The following is a 16,425-nucleotide window of genomic DNA, read 5'->3' on the forward strand; positions in this document are numbered from 1 at the left end:
CTACACACCTATTCAAATGACAAAAATTAATTTTTTAGAAAACTGACAATACCAAGTGCTGACAAAGTTGGAGAGCAACTGTAACACTCATATTGCCAATGACAATGCAAAATCATCACTTTTCAAAACTGCTTAGCAGTTTCTTATAAAGTTAAACATATATTTACCATATGACTCCACAATCTCATTCATATTTACCCAAGAAATGAAAACATATTCACACACACAAAAAAAAACCTGTACATGAATATTTATACCAGCTTCATCAATAATAGCCAACAACTGGAAAGAACTCATCCAAATATGCCTCAAGTAGGAAATGGATAAATATACTACCGTAGATCCATACAATGGACTATTACTCAGCAACATAAAGGAACAACTGATACACAGAACATGAATGAATAGCAACTGCATGATGCTAAGCTGAAAGAAGCCTGATTCAAAAGGCCACAGGGTGTTTGCTTCCATCAATATGACATTCTGGAATAGGCAAAATTACAGGAACAAAAAACTAGGAAGTTGTTGCCAGGGATGGCGTTAGGGGAGGGATTAAATACAAAGAGCACTAGGGAATTTGGGGTTCATGATGAAACTTCCGTATGCTGATTGTGGTGGTTGGTAATTACATAACTGTATACATTTGTCAAAACTCACAGAACTGTAGATTAAATGGGTGAGGCTTACCATAAGTAAGTTATACCTCAATTTTAAGTTAATATATTTGTGCCAATCTTTCTTTAGTTATGCTCATACATCCATAAAATATATTAGAATTGCTGAGTCAAAGAACACTTATGTTTCAAATTTTGGTAGTTCGCCAAATTGTACTCCAAAAAGGCTGCACCAAATTACACTACTTCCCCTACACTGGGCTGGGGCCCATCTGGTTATGTCAAAGCTGTTTCATCTTCTCCAGTCTCATAGGTGTAAAAGGTATCTGTGAATTTGGTTTACATTTCTTCACGAGAAAAGTTGAGTCTCTAATCAATTGTTTGCTGTTTGCATCTTTTTATTTTTCCTGTGAAATGCCTATTTGCATCCTTTGCCGTTTACGGTCTAGTTTAAATGGCTGGTGATCAGTTCTAGATCTTGGTGGGAAGATCCAAATCTCGGGAAAGTAGAAGCCTTGGTTACAGGTCCTAATGTTAGGTGATTCCTGGAGAAATAGCCTCCGCGGAGGCAGAAGCCGCTGGGGCCCCGCCCCCAATGAGCCCGCCCCCGCCCTCTCATTGGCCCTGTCCGCTCTCCCTGACAGTCCATCTACATGCCAAGCGGCCCGACGCAGCTCCGCCCCGCCCACTCCTCGGCGCACCGCCCCGCGACCGAGCTCCGCCCTCATCTGCGCGGCCCCTCACCTTCCCGCCGGGCCTCCTCGAGGAACTGGCCGCCGTCAGTCAGGGCGCAGATGGCCGCAGAAGCGCGCCGCAGACACTCGCCGCGCCAGCCACTTACCCCCAGAGGAGAGGGGTCTCTCCCGCCACCTCAGCCTCTCTGGTAGTGGAAGAAGCCGCCGGTCCAGATCCCTCCTGCCTGTGGGACCGCTGTTTCCCTGGCAACCAGATGCGCGATGCTTCCGGTCTCGCGATAGCGGAAAGGGCTGTACCATCCGGAAATGGGACCGGGGCCGGCGGCTGTTGGAGCCCTGCGAGCTGGGACGGCCGGCGTGTGTCCTTCCGTCTTCGCTGCCGACGGTGGGGGTTGGGAGCGATTTTTCGTCTTTAGGTTGGATTCGGAACGCGGACGTCTGGATGCTTGTGTATCTCTGTCCCTCATATTGCTGTGATGCCTTACAGGTCAGTTATCCTCTCCGAGCACAGTTTCCTCCTCCGTAAAATGGGAACAATAATAATTCCCTTCTTACAAGACTTGTGCAGCTCAAAAAGACCATGTATGTGAAGCTCTAGTAAATTTGGGGTGCTATGGAAATTTTAAAAATATGAGTTTTGCACAGATTCGGCTACAGTCCAAAAAGAGTTATAATTGCTTTTTGCACCTTCTTTCATTTCGTAGTTTCTCTAATTCTCAGTGCACGAAAATTATTTCCCTACGTCCACAAACTGATTTTCCTCACCTCCATTGCCATCATTTCTCCTGCTTTCCAGTCTGAACAGCACATTACCGTTTACAGGGCATTTTCACATTCATGGCCCCTTTGTCCTCATTGTTTTAACTAGGTACGATGTGGTTTTTTTTCAGCGAAGCAAATAGTCGTAGGCTGAGTTGCCGAAAGAACACAGCTGCAGTCTAGGCGAGTGCTGGGTATAAAAACCTGGCTATAAATGCCATCCCTATGCTCCTGAATCCTGCATCTTATCACCAGCCCAGACTTCCCTGAACTCCAGACTCCTTTACCTAACTGCCTATTTGGCATATCCACTTAGATGTGTAAGCATCTCAAACTTAACACGGGAAAAAACAACTTCTCCAGAGTCCCCCACCCACTTTCTATCCATCTCAGCAAATGGTAATTTCAGCCTGCCATGCCTAGACCAAAAACCTTGGAGTCATCCTCAATTCTTCTTCCTCTCTCACTCTACAATCTATTTGTCCTATCAGCTCAACATTCAAAATATATTCAGAATCCAAACATTCGTCACAACTTCAGTGCTTCCATTCAGGTTCATACTGACATCATCTCTAAATGATAAGGCTTTCTGTTGGCTCTCTGACCTCCACTCCTACCTACTGCTTTCCCCTGGTAAACCTGGTTCCAGCCTCACTGTCCTCATTGTTAGTGTTTCTGTGCAGGGATTTCTTCCCAGCATTTCTCAGGGAATTTATGTGGCTTTCCAAATCTCAAAAGAAAAAAAGTTGCAAACTGAAGAAAATGGGAGAAAGTATCCTAATCCTCCTATGAGAATTAAAACTTAGCAGCCGACCTAGAGATGTTACTGAAGAAATTCACCAATGTCAAGTTGAAAACCAGCACAGGAAATGCTGAGTTCGAGGTTGAGGTGAACATTTTCAGGAACCAGGTCAGGAGCACTTGGGAGAGACATGGCCACAATCTCATCAGTCAGTCTTGTTTGTAGTTGGTGCCATGAAAGCCTATGTTCCTGGCCCTGTGTGCCGCTGGCAGTGAGTCATTCTTGCAAATAAAATATAAATAGGTTGATACTCATTGTATACTTTATACAAATTCTATGAGCAGTGTTCAAAAAAGTAACGGGTTTTGGATTCAAAGTAAATCCTTAAATTGACAGTTTCCAACCCATGATTCTGGGTAGTACAGTTAACCCTGCTAGGAGATCTATTATTTGAATACTCCTCAATAATGTTCTCTGTGTTTTCCAGCATTTGAATATTTGCTATAAACCCCACTTCTTGTAAACACTTCTAAATTTAATAGTTCTCATTTTTTAAACAAAGGCTTCAGATACTTGTAATAATGAGTAAAGAATATGAAGAAGGTAGAGAATATTTTAAGAATAAGATTTTGAGAACAGCTGGTAATTCTGATTTCCTGTTTCTGCATCCCAAAGATCAGTATCTGTCAGGAATTTGGAAACACTTGTTGTTCCTCCAGTCCAAATACACACACACACACACCAGCCTGAAATACAGTTTCCCAGCTATCCACCTGGTTTGCTCCTCTCTTTCCTCAGGCGTCCGCTTCCTCAGGAGGGCCTTTCCCAACCACCCTGTATAAAATAATTATCCCCATCTCCACACTCCCTACCCTCTGTCCCCTCAACCCTGCTTTATTTTTTTATGAAGAAGAGAGATGACATTATTTGGATTTTGATATTAAACAGCTAGGTTATCTTAGGTAAATACATAAGCTTTTGTGGGCCACAGTTTCTTCATTTGAAAAATGAAGTTGGACTAGTTTTGCAGTGCTTAACTGCACAGAGCATTAGAATCACCTGGGGAGACTTCATAAACTACACAACCAGGGGTGTACCTGAGATCAAATGAATCTAGGCCTTCTCAACTTTAATGTGCAGACAAATCACCGAGGAATCTTGTTAAAAATGCTGATTCAAAAAAAAAAATGTTGATTCAGTATCAGGTGAGACCTGAGACTAACAGGCTCCTAGATGATGCCAATGCTCCCCGTCCACCGACCGCTGTTTACCTAGCGGCAAGACGAGATCATTGCCAAGTGCCTGCACGGTTCTCATACACCATAAACGAAGGCCATTCTTTCCAGTTTTTAATTTGGTGACTAATAGTGTCCACTAAGAAAACAATACCTTCCCAATTTCTCGGGGGGGGAAGGGGCTGAACTAAGAAAAAGCGGACCTATGATTACTGCTGTTTTCATTTTTTTAACTGTTGTTTTTAAAATGCAACATAAGATGCATATAAAGCAAGTGAAAATAAAATTCGGGTTCCACGTAAACTTTGTGTCTCTTCACTGTTTGTAACCTTTCCAGACTAAGTCCCTATTGACTATATTTGCATAAAACTATTTATCTCATTTTGAATTGTTTTGTCTCTGTGTCACTCTCACGTGTTTATTTACCTCCTGCTGCTTCCATTTTGTAAACTGCCGAGAGGCTGTGTGTGCCTTAAGGGCCAGCTTTAATAAATTGCATTTGTTGTGTATTTGTTTTTAATTTCCCCAGATACTTCTGTGTCAGCTATTGCAGGTGACACCCTCAAAACAGCACGGGGATATAAGTCCGAGAGCACCAAATGTCTATACTGTGTTTTCTGCAGTTCCATTTTCAAAAATCGCAAACACATCCTGGAAAGTGTTGTGCCCTTCAAAGTCATTCATAAAAATTTCTTCTAGAGTCAAGATATTTGAAGCTAAAATTTCCCTGGTCTCATTCCAGGTTGGTGACATATGGCAGTGGCAGTGTTAGTTTCGGAGTTAGCTTTTGTTTTTGTTTGCAGTCTCTCCCTACTCTTGACATCCTCCTTCCGAGTGGAGTCAGATTTGAATGAATGAAAGCGAGCAAGAGCATTGTTTGCCATCTGGGCACCAACTACCATTTCAGCCTTGTTGCCCCGGTTGCCCTTTCCTCACCATAAACTTCAACCGAATGTAACAATATGGTAGGAGAGGGATCTCATTAAGCCTCATATCGTAGATTCTACACACTGGATTTTGTGTATAATAGCCATTCCTACTGGAGAGCAGATAATAGTGTTTACCACTGGATAGTTCCCATGTCCTGTGAATCTATGCTTAGTGTTATTGAAAAACTGCATTTACAAAGTGTTTCAGACTTGCCTTCCAAGCATCATTTCACTTCATTCATAACATTCTATGAGTCGGCACTAGTATTACCTGGATTTAGAGTTGAGAAGCAGAGCACCTAAAGGGTAAGTAATTGTCCCAAGGTCGTTGGGGAACTAACTGGCACCGGGATTCCAACCTAGGTTCCAAAGCCTGCCCTCCATCTCCTCAGGGGTCCGAATTCTAGAAGAGGAGATATTTGTGTCCACTAGATGGTGCTGATTGTCCTCTTAAAAAAAAAAATTGGCAGCCACTTTCAGAAACACGTTCCTTTGGATTTTAGGTGTAATTCAAGAAACCACTGAACTGAAGTATCTTGTATGTCTGAATTGTGCCTGGATGCATCTTTAAATAGCCACCCAAATAGGAAAAGTGAAAATTTGATCTCAAAAAAACTGCATTTTTTAAAATGTTAGTACCTATAAATAATATCAAAAAACCATGGTGACTTTGAGACTCTGAAAATTCTCATACATCTGTATTTACATTAAATCAGTAGACTTAAGAAGAAATACATGTTTTATTCCATGTACCCCTTTTATACCAACTGTACTCCCTCCAGCATCTCCCAATCCTGCTTGGCCACAATGCCATCCATGCCAGCAAGGGTCATGAACAGGGAAGTAAATAAAGCCTGAAAAAAACAACAATCAGATTCTGGAACAGGTAACACTTTTTTCTTTTTCTTTTTTTTTTTTTTTTTTGAGATAAAGTCATGCTCTTTCACCCAGGCTGGAGTGCAGTAGCACAATGATCATGGCTCACTGCAGCCTCAACTTCCCAGGTTCAAGCAACCTCCCACCTCAGCCTCATGAGTAGCTGGGACTACAGGCATGCAACACCATGCCCGGTTGAATTTTTTTTTTTTTTTTTGTAGAGGTGAGGTCTCCCTATGTTGCCCAGGCTTAATGCTATTATTATTGAAAGTAAAATACATGTTAAGTATATGTTTCATATGTGCTTAGTACCTTATTTTAGTACATTTTTTAGAACTTAAAAGCTGTGAAATAAACCCGATTCAAATGGGTTGTCAGATTTTGTTGTTGAGAAGGATCAGTTCAGGTGTTATTTAAAATATTGATTCTAGTCCCTATTACATGATTCAGTGGGTCTGGAATGCAGACCAGGAATCTGCATTTTTAACAAGTCCCTTGGTGCTTGTGGTACAGATGAACCACTGACTTCAAGTTAATGTTTTAGAGGGTAAATAGTGGTGAGGACATTGCTCCTGGAGGCACCATGGAGCCCCCTGCAGCTGTTCTACACGGAGGCTGTGAACAGTGACATCCAGCACTTCCTTTGTAAACAGCAGGCTAGAGACTGAAAAATGCTCTCCCTGTAGAACTCTTTCCCTCCTCTCCCTGTCTGCTGTGGAGTGCTGCACAGAATTAGCTGCTGGTCAGTGGATGTCTCCATTTTTTAAAAGATCAAGCTTACAACTTCTCAATGCCTATTGGTCCAAAAACAGTGATGACTTTAGGTTTGTTTTCAGTTAAAGAAGTTAGATCATGTATTGTCATATAACTATTCAACTGGCTCGAGCGATCCGAATGTCAACCTAGGGGGCCACAAACTTCCAGGACATTGTGAAATTGTGTAAAAATCAGTGCACACATACACACACACACACACACATAGCAGTGCAGCTACATGTTTCTGGCCTAGAGGGTTGTTTTTAAAGATAGTAAAGTAAATCAATGAAAACGAAGGTATGTTATAATATCCAGAGTCATTTGCAGGGGGAAGGTGTCATGTCAAGTGGGCCCTAAAGCAATCAGCTCTGCCAAGTGAGTCATTCTCACCAGAAAGGAGAAAAAAATCGGTTTCTCTTCTTTTCTAAGGAAATTCCCTCAAAGTAACAGACTGCTTAACTTTCTCATGATCTTACTGGCTACAAAGTTTGGTCACCCGCAGCAACTCTGTACCTGTAAAGATTTAAAGAGTTGGCAGAAACTTCCCAAGGCCAGCTGCAGTTTCAGTTGCTGGATGCCCACTGAGATTAGTGTCTCGCCCCTGTCAGCTGAATGGATGTGACACTGCTTGCGCATAATGGCTGAAATTGCACTGCAACTATCAATCCTGGGCTGAAACCAACAGATTCTGAACATTGCCCATGCATTGGGTTTCATGCTTCATGCTTTCAACCTACAGGTAAGCTTGTCTCTGAGTCCAAAACCTAACTTCAGTATTGAGCTTGGTCTCTCTGATCCCATAGGGGTTTGTTAGTTTGTTGTTTTAAATTGGATCTCCTGATCTGTGTACTTGGTTGAGGTAAGCAGGTCTATGCAAACCTACCCCCAAAGGCCAAGGAAGCTGAGAGGCCAATGAAAGAAGCTGACAAGTCCAGTTTCTCAGAAAGAAACATTCAATAAGGGCTTACAAACAGAAGCCATGTCTCTGGCGGCCAGAGAGACAGTGGATCCCCGCAACTGCCCTCCAGAAAGCATCTTTTATATAGCAAGATTTTAGGGAAAGATGTGCAGCCAGTCATGCCTCAGGCCTTCTTGCAAAACTCATGACCCCTGGGGTGGTTAGATAAGCATCTCTATGAGAGTTTATCTATGCTACAGGAACACATTGGTCATCTTGCTATGCAACAGGCCGTTTTCCTACAATACTAAAATGAAGCTTTAGTATATAGTTATGTAAGCCTTCATTATTATGTAAACCTTTGTACATATTTTAACAAAAAATAAAGGAAGCTAAAATAATTAAGATGCCATATTAGAAACATTCAAATCAAATATTTAGGGTGTTAAGCAGCAAGGTAAGGAAATGATTTTTCTCAGAGTTAACATCTCAGACATAAAGAAATAAGAAGTAAACCACCCCAGGGGTTTGTTCATCAGTCATGGGTCAGGCTGCCACAATGTTTAAGTCTCATCCTGGCATTCTTAGCTTCTCACTTTATTTCTTACACAATCTTTTTCTTAGCTGGAATCCAAAGTAATGTTTCTATCTGAACATACAGTGTTTATTACACTAGGAACTAGTCATCATTTTGAAGACTTGGTTTTCTTGTTTACATTTTTAAAATTTGATCATCCAAACTCCTTTCTTAATAGAAGCTGGCTTATTTTCCCCTTATTTTGCCATAATAGGCAAACTAAAATTAGTGCTTTAATTTTGTTCAAAATTTGTGATGTTTTATATTTTTGTAATTCATCACTGACACACATTTTAAAATACACATCTCTGGATTTTCTGTCCTGTCTTTGCCAAGAACAGTGTGGCCTGGGCCTAGTCTCTTAACCTCTTTCCACCTCAGTTTCTTTGTCTAGTAAATAAGAGGTAGATAAAGGTTTCTACCACTACTTCCAGCTCTGAGACCCTGTGATTTTCTGATTTAAGCAGTCTCTGCTCTCTTTGGAAATGACCTGCTTCTCAACCCAACATTCATAACAATGTAAAAGGCATCTGCTCAACGTGCATGGCAGCAAGAATTACTTGTTTAGAAACATCTGGGTAATGGTAACAACCATCTGTCTTGTCCCTGCAATTGTCGAACAAAGAATTAAGCAAGCAAAACCACAAGAGAAGTGCCCTATTTTTATAGAACGATGCAATAGAACAGAATTTGTTTAGGTTTTATGAGAGTTGCATATGTATCCCACCTCTGTTATGGAACGGCAAGCCTCTTCACCTCTGCAGACTTCAGTTTACCAGCCTATCTGTCAAACAATGGGAAGATAACTCTCTAGCACTGTTCCTTATTTTGTTGAAATAGAGAAATTAATATGTTCTTGAGACACTATACTGAATTTTTCATTGCACTTGTTAATAAAATGAGTATTTTCATGTCAAATAACAGCAACCATCCAATCCATGCTGGAGAATGAAAGAAAAGCAGATGAATTATCAGGTTCAATTCATATCTGGTGTGCATTAAATGCTCATCTATCTTGTATAGCTTGCTACAGATGATGGTATTTTGGTGAAAATTGCCAACAATTTTTTAAATGAATCTAGAGATCATTACCTGGACCCAAATTTGTGAGAATTTTGCATTCGGGTGGACACTTGCATCCATGCATTCAATTTTCTATCATTCATTGGTCATTTTTTCTGAGTTAAATCCTCTAGCGAGGGCCGGGCACGGTGGCTCACGCCTGTAATCCCAGCACTTTGGGAGGCAGAGGCGGGCGGATCACGAGGTCAGGAGATCTAGACCATCCTGGCTAACACGGTGAAACCCCGTCTCTACTAAAAAATACAAAAAATTAGCGGGCGTGGTGGTGGGCGCCTGTAGTCCCAGCTACTCAGGAGGCTGAGGCAGGAGAATGGCGTGAACCCGGGAGGCGGAGGTTGCAGTGAGCGGAGATTGCGCCACTACACTCCAGCCTGGGCGACAGAGCAACACTCCGTCTCAAAAAAAAAAAGAAAAAAAACCAAAAAACCTCTAGCGAACTATTTCTGGGCAAGTGAACTTTTCAGCATTTCTCTAATCATGCCTAATTGCTCAGAGATTCTGACAGGGATAGGAACAAGATGGTCACATGAATCTTCTCCAACTCCTCACCTCCATTCCTTTGAGATAAAAAGTGTTGGAAGTCAGGGGGATTTCTAGGTACTAACTATGCAATAGTTACCCCTTCACAATAGTTAGCAGGGGAAGAAATGGAAGGCCTTAATTAAGGAAATATTTCTTTATTTCTCAACCTACTATCTACTGAATTACTTATATTTCATCATGAAAAAGACATTTAAAAGCAGTGGTTTCTGTCCTCCATAATTTGCTTATGGAGTAGGCATTTTTAAAAATTATTAATTCAGGCCGGGCGCGGTGGCTCACGCCTGTAATCCCAGCACTTTGGGAGGCCAAGGCGGGCAGATCACGAGGTCAGGAGATCGAGACCATCCTGGCTAACACGGTGAAACCCCGTCTCTACTAAAAATACAAAAAAATTAGCCGGGCGTGGTGGCGGGCGCCTGTAGTCCCAGCTACTCGGGAGGCTGAGGCAGGAGAATGGCGTGAACACGGGAGGCGGAGCTTGCAGTGAGCCGAGATCGCGCCACTGCAGTCCAGCCTGGGCGACAGAGCGAGACTCCGTCTCAAAAAAAAAAAAAAAAAAAAAAAATCATGAGTTCTGAAGAAAACCAAATACCACATGTTCTCACTTGTAAGTGGGAGCTAAATGATGAGAACACACGGACACACAGAGGGGAAAGACACACACTGGGGCCTATCGGAGGGTGGAGGGTGGGAGAGGGAGAAAAGCAGAAAATATAACCAATGTTACGAGGCTTAATACCTGGGTGATGAAATACTCCGTACAACCAACCCCTGTGATACACATTTACCTACGTAACAAACTGCGCATCTTGCACATGTACCTCTGAACTTAAAAGTTAAAAAAATAAAAAATTTAAAAAGAATCATAAGTTCTGATCCATAGTCTTGGACAAAGCACTTAATTTCCTGGACCTCAATTTCTTTATATTAAATTACAGGGGTGGCATATGACTAGGCTAAAATTTTCCGAATTCAAAATGTTATCACTATATAAAGTAAATGAGAATTTTATGGTGAAAGAAATCTTTTGAATTTAAGAAAGACTTGTCATTCATCAAAAGAAAGCACTGGAGAGCAGGGACCATATCTTGAACACTTTATATTCCATTACAATAGCATGTATTAAATGCAATAATATTTACTGCTATGAATGAATGAATCTTGTTAATGTTTCATGTCCTTACAGGGAAGAGTATCAAGTGACTCTCAGGAATGTGGGCAATGGGTGAAAGTGATTCGATGGCAGAAACTTTTAAAGTTAAGTAAACTCAGTGCAGAATTAACAAGGAGGGCCAGGCACAGTGGCTCACTCCTATAATCCAGCACTTTGGGAGGGGGAGGTGGGAGGATCGCTTGAGCCCAGGAGTTCAAGACCAGCCTGAGCAACACAGCAAGACCCTGTCTCTACAAAAAAGTTCTTTAAAATTATCCCTTGAGCCCAGAAGTTTGAGGTTGCAGTGAACTATGATGGTGCCACTGCACTCCAGCCTTGGTGACAGAGTGAGGCCCTCTGAAGGACCCTTTGAATGTCCTTTTAAGGCCATATAACATCTTCTTATATCTCCCTGAGGAGATTAAGAATGGGTTGTTGTTTTTTTTAAGTTATCTTCTTTTTGTATATCCTGTTTTTCCCCCCAATTTTTTTTCTTGTATGTTTGTTTTGGCATCTGCCTGTATGTTAGATACTTTCCTCAGAGGACTGGTCATCCTTGGCTGTCTGCTCATGTTTAAAAGTCTCAGAAAAAAAAAAAAAAAGCGAAGATATTAACATGGAGGACACAGGACATAAGAAGATGCCTCTGAGTGCTCTCCGCAGAGCGACCTCAGTCTTGGCATTCCTTCAAGAGTATCTTAACATTTATTTTAAACTGAATGCCTCTACAGCAAAACAGGGGAAATCATGAGGGAGAAGAAGTAAATTTGGAAAATAACATTGAGCAAAACAGCTGCCAAGCATCAAGGATTTTCATCTAGTCCCCAGTACATTTTAATGATATGTGCCAAGTGGGTATTCAAAAAATAGTTATGATAATGATAGATGATAATGATCATCAGTACTTTAGAGGGTGCTGTGGAAGAATTGGGCTTTAATGCCTTCTCTACTGTTTTTAGCTCTGTCTCTAACTTGCTTCGTCTCTTAGGGCTAATGACGTGGCCATCTGTGTCTCTAGTTTCCCCATCTGCAAAAAAGAGATTGTATCATTTCCTACAGAAAGCCCGTGGACTGTGCTTTAATATCCTCCGGTGAAACATCATATCTAAATATAAAGCAGACAATAAGAAGCCAAATATTACCAAGGGAATAAACTTTAAGACAGAGTATTATAAATTAAAATGAATTAAGAACTTCTAAGTAATATTCTACTGACCTTTGGTTGATGCAAAGGTACCTGTATTGCATACACTTTAGATTTTTTAAAAGTAGATGAGAACATAAATTATAAATACATAAACAAATCCTAGGATGCTTTGACTCATTAAACTCAATATCTTAGACATATTAATCCAAAATATTTTGTGGGTTCTAAATTAATTTCTAAAGCAAACCAGCATTACTTAAATTAAATCTATATAACAAAGTAGCAATAATCCTTAAAAGCACTGTAAAAATACACAGAAGAAGAAAGAAGAAATCTTTCTTCTTGGCTATAGAGAAGATATGGGGAGAAAAGTAGAATTCATTGTAGCCCATGATTGCCTAGTTCATACAGCCAAGCCAAAGGTATTATCTGAGTACATCTGACATGATTTGAGTATATCAGCAAAAGCCATCAGTTTCTCTGACCCTGACAGCCTAAATTGCCTCATTTTCTAAATTTCCTCTAATGATGTATATTGTTTCTTCTTTTTTCTTTTGTTTAGTCTGATGGAGCCTTGCAAAATTCAGAAGACTTTTAACATTAATGTGTATTCTTATCAAAATAATACACGTAGACTGTTTTAAAATATAACTAAAAGTCTTAAAACAAAACAAACAATAACAGTCCCAGAGAAAAGGACCTGCGATAATTTTAGCCGCCTCTTCTGGCAGTCATCACACATCCCCATATTTCTGAATAACTCACATTCTACTCTGTTTCGCGTCACACATTTTGAGCATAATTTGATTTGGCCCCCTGTCATGGTAGGGGAGGATATTGCTCTCTTGTGCAATACTTCCAATCCTTAGGAAGGTAAAGTCCTGACTGGAAGGGCATTGGGAATGGAGTGTGGGGAGAAGATATGGAAGTGCAGGGTAGTGGGGAAGCTGGACTAAGGAGAGGCAGCTGGCCCAGCAGTGTGGCACCAACAGCAGATCTAGCCAGGGCTCTAATTACTTCTCAAACAGCCATCAACCTCCCCAACCTGAGCTTTCATATCAAAGTCACCTAGAGAAGCCAATACCTTAGCTAAGAATTATTACTGTCAGGCAAAAAAATAAAATAAACCTCTTGCAAAAAAACTGGAAACTAAGACAAACCCATAGAGAAGAATTATCCTTAATATCCTCAGCGAGATAGTAGAAAATGTTTCTTTCCCTTAAAAATGAAGATCCAAAGGACACAAAAGAAAAGAAAAGAAAAAAAGAGAGGAAAAAAAGCTCCAGGGAAGTTCTTAAGTCTGCTGCCCAGTCAGTTACCACCTTCCATCTGCTTTCCAGCTTCTAAAATTTGTTGCTGTTGTAGACTCACCTGGAACCAGAGAGCACTTTGTCTTCTCTCCTATTCCTTGCATCCTTCTGGATTTATGACATTTCTTTTTAACCCCTTAAATGTGGTTTTAGTGGCATTTCAGGAAGAAATAGAATTAGACACGTATAATCAATCAGTCATTTCTTATCAGGAACCACACATGGTTCCTTTGTGGGGTTTTCTTCATTAAGTCAATATAAAACTTCAGATACAGCATAAAAAGGTAAATCCCAGGCAGGAAAACAGTGAATTTTTTTAGAAGATTACTTTATTTTATTGAGATTGTATCCCCAAACAGGAGCAATTTCTGATGCGTTCTTCTTTGCAAATAATAAATTAGCTCACATATCAAGTATGATGAGGGTGCTTTCTGCAGAAAATTGTAAAACTTTGACTCAAACTTGTGTGTACAACATGAAATTTATTGTCTCACATTAACTGGAAGTTCAAAGGTAGAGACATGTGACTTAGCAGCTGAGTGACATCATCAGGTACATGTTGCCCTGTCTGTACTGTGCTGTCCTCTTTGTCACCTTTATTCCAAGGCTGGCTCCCCTAACTGTCGTCATGATTTACTGTAGAGTCTGAACTTAGAATTGGTAACTAATCCAAGGAAGCTTCCTTTCTTGTTCCTTAACTGTAGCCCAGGGAGATCCTAGTACTCTACGGTTACTTTCAGATATTGAAGAGTCTGGTCCAGTTTTAAAGTTCACGATGATGCCTAATGTAATGCTCTTCCTCTCCCCCAACTCAGGCTTGATCTGTAGCCCAAGGAACTCACCATGAGTGGATGAGAATCCTCTCCTCCTATAGCTTGATGTTTCCTCTCGCGGGTCCCCCTTCTGCCTCCATGGAGTTAGGAGGAAGGATGGGCAAAAGGAGGAAACATCTTCTCCTTGATTGGTGCAGCCATTGTTCTCTCATTGGTACTTGGTGGGGAATCTCCAGAGGTGTGGCATGTGGCCCTCAGTGTACACATCTCTGGTGCCAGACACAGTGCCGGCCTGACCACTTTCAACCCCTCTCAGCATCCACCCACAGCCTCCTCCAAGTCTGGCCAGGGGCCAGTTTTCAAGTCGAGTTTCTGTGGTGTCTCCTTGACATTGAGAAAATCACCCATTCTCACCATGCCACATGATGGGTGTGCAGGATGCCCTCTCTGTTTACTCTGTCATCTCTCTCCAATTCCTTTCTCACACCTCCAAATTCAGAGGGCCGATCAGCAAGCCCATCCCTGAAGCAGATATCCAGCTGAGGAAAAGCAGCCAGGCTTGCATTTTTCCACCGAGCAGATGTCTCATGACCTACACAACTCTCTTTAAATTTCTTCTGTTTTCTCCATAAATAACCTGGGTTTGCATGGAGGACAGAGGTAAGGGTTGGGGAGATGGTCCCCCCCTCCTCAAACCACCTCAAACTTTTGGCTAACCCAGCGTGTCTCAACCTTAGCACTACTGATATTTTGGACCAGATAATTCTTTGTTGTGAGGGCTGTCCTGTGCATTAGAGGGTATTTAACAGCATTCCTGGCCTTTACCCAGTAGATGCCTGGAGCATGCCCCACTCCTTGACAATTACGACCAAAACTTCACTGGCCTAACCCCAAGAGTCCCCTCTGTTCTCCTAACACCTAGGTTTTGAGACCCAAATCTAGGAAGAGATTCAAAGGATATCTGCTTTCCCTTGAGGCAATGAAAGCCTCGTCCCCTCCCCTGAGGCAATGCATGTGAATGAGAGGGGCCAGGCAAAGAGAGAAGAGAAGTTAGATGCACAGGTAATATGGTTAATATAGCAAGAGCATCATGCCGTGTGTTCTATTTTCTCACCTGTTGCCTTAGAATGTATACCACGTGTTTATTCTAGTAACTCCTTTGTGTGTGTATTACATTTTGTATATGGACTGCAATGAATACACATATAAAGAGAAATTTAAGGGAGGCAGAAAGATTTCATCACTAAGTTCTGATCAACATAGCTGATGAATAATTATTCTTCAAGCCCAACACACATGCCTGGAACTGCGTTTCTCAGTATTGAACTTCCCCTCCAACTTTGGAACTTACACTCCTAGTGCATTAAAAGGAGGCTTGGGTATTTGAAGGAGATGGATCAAAGGCCTTGCGTTTGATGCCTTTTAACTCTGCAGGAGTCATTCCAAGGAAATCAATAAGAGCCAGCAATAACTCCACTGAAAGCAAATCTTTCATCACTCATACACGACAGAGACCGCACCCCTGCTCCAGGTGCTGTATCTCTTATGTATTCATTCACCATTCACTCATTTCAATCTGGCAATAAGAAGCCCCTGAATCCCCAGGACATGAAGTGCTATAGAGGTTCGCATAAACAATGCTGGAGATCACAGTTTCATTTCTATACAGGTTTCCAACCTTTATTCTACTGATCAACTGATACCTTTGGCACAAATGGGGGAAAACATGGGTTGAAACTGAGGCTAAGAAAAAGGGAGCTGTTTTATCTTCTGAAACCTCATGTATGGAGAATCTAAGCTCATTTCCATTTATTTTATACGTCTTGCACAAAAAGGCTTTTGATGCTGCCCTGGGCATTGATACTTATTTCAATTCCTATTTTATTCACAGATTCCCAGGTTATTTACCATGACTCATTTCTCTTTTGGTTACAGAGCTCTAATGTGGCACACTAGTTGGGATACAAATCTGCTAAATATTTACAACTATTTGGGGAAAGTGCATCACTATGTTATGGTATTATTGACACTGTATGTTGAGACGTTGGTACACTACACTATGAAAGCATTAACCCTTTCCCTCCACCACAATTCCGCCCGTAATAAGCTTTTTTCCTTGTGCATCTCTGATCCAACCTGTAGCAGCAGCTCCATATGCACAGAGCCACCTCACCTCGGGCAGGTCTGCCAAGAGCTCAGCAGTACCCAGCTGGGATGCAGCAGTGGCTTTCCTCCTCAGATGAATCAGACTGGTGCTTGAGCTCCAGATGTTCATTTAGCCCACCAACTAACTTGCAGTTTCTTTCCTACAGATGGGGCCACTTTGGATTTGCAT

General features: G+C 41.5%; 1 protein-coding gene and 1 long non-coding RNA gene across 7 annotated transcripts in view, besides 2 other annotated features; one reads left to right on the forward strand and one right to left on the reverse strand.

The window, feature by feature from the left end:
* The window catches only part of FSIP1 (fibrous sheath interacting protein 1), a 185,402-nt gene extending 183,830 nt beyond the window's left edge, over positions 1-1,572 (reverse strand). For 3 of the 6 annotated variants that reach the window (XM_011521305.4, NM_152597.5, XM_011521309.4), the window contains exon 1: positions 1,359-1,572. The gene's annotated coding sequence lies outside the window, so the exon portion shown is untranslated. Of the gene's footprint in view, positions 1-687; positions 1,188-1,358 lie in introns of those variants that run through there. The other 3 variants (NM_001324338.2, XM_047432212.1, XM_011521306.3) reach the window with 2 other exon arrangements.
* Positions 1,202-1,381: a silencer, noted in NCBI's record as "silent region_6312". NCBI's record gives its function as "represses an Ori minimal core promoter by ATAC-STARR-seq in GM12878 lymphoblastoid cells {active_cell/tissue: GM12878}" and the evidence as "EXISTENCE:reporter gene assay evidence [ECO:0000049][PMID:35858748]".
* Positions 1,637-4,348, forward strand: LOC105370941 (uncharacterized). The gene has a single exon (NR_135665.1). It is a non-coding gene; the product is annotated as an uncharacterized LOC105370941 (long non-coding RNA).
* Positions 1,682-1,811: an enhancer, noted in NCBI's record as "active region_9217". NCBI's record gives its function as "activates an Ori minimal core promoter by ATAC-STARR-seq in GM12878 lymphoblastoid cells {active_cell/tissue: GM12878}" and the evidence as "EXISTENCE:reporter gene assay evidence [ECO:0000049][PMID:35858748]".
* Positions 4,349-16,425: the final 12,077 nt, after the last annotated feature.

Source organism: Homo sapiens, chromosome 15 (genome assembly GCF_000001405.40).
Source record: "Homo sapiens chromosome 15, GRCh38.p14 Primary Assembly".
Taxonomy (NCBI): Eukaryota; Metazoa; Chordata; class Mammalia; order Primates; family Hominidae; genus Homo; species Homo sapiens.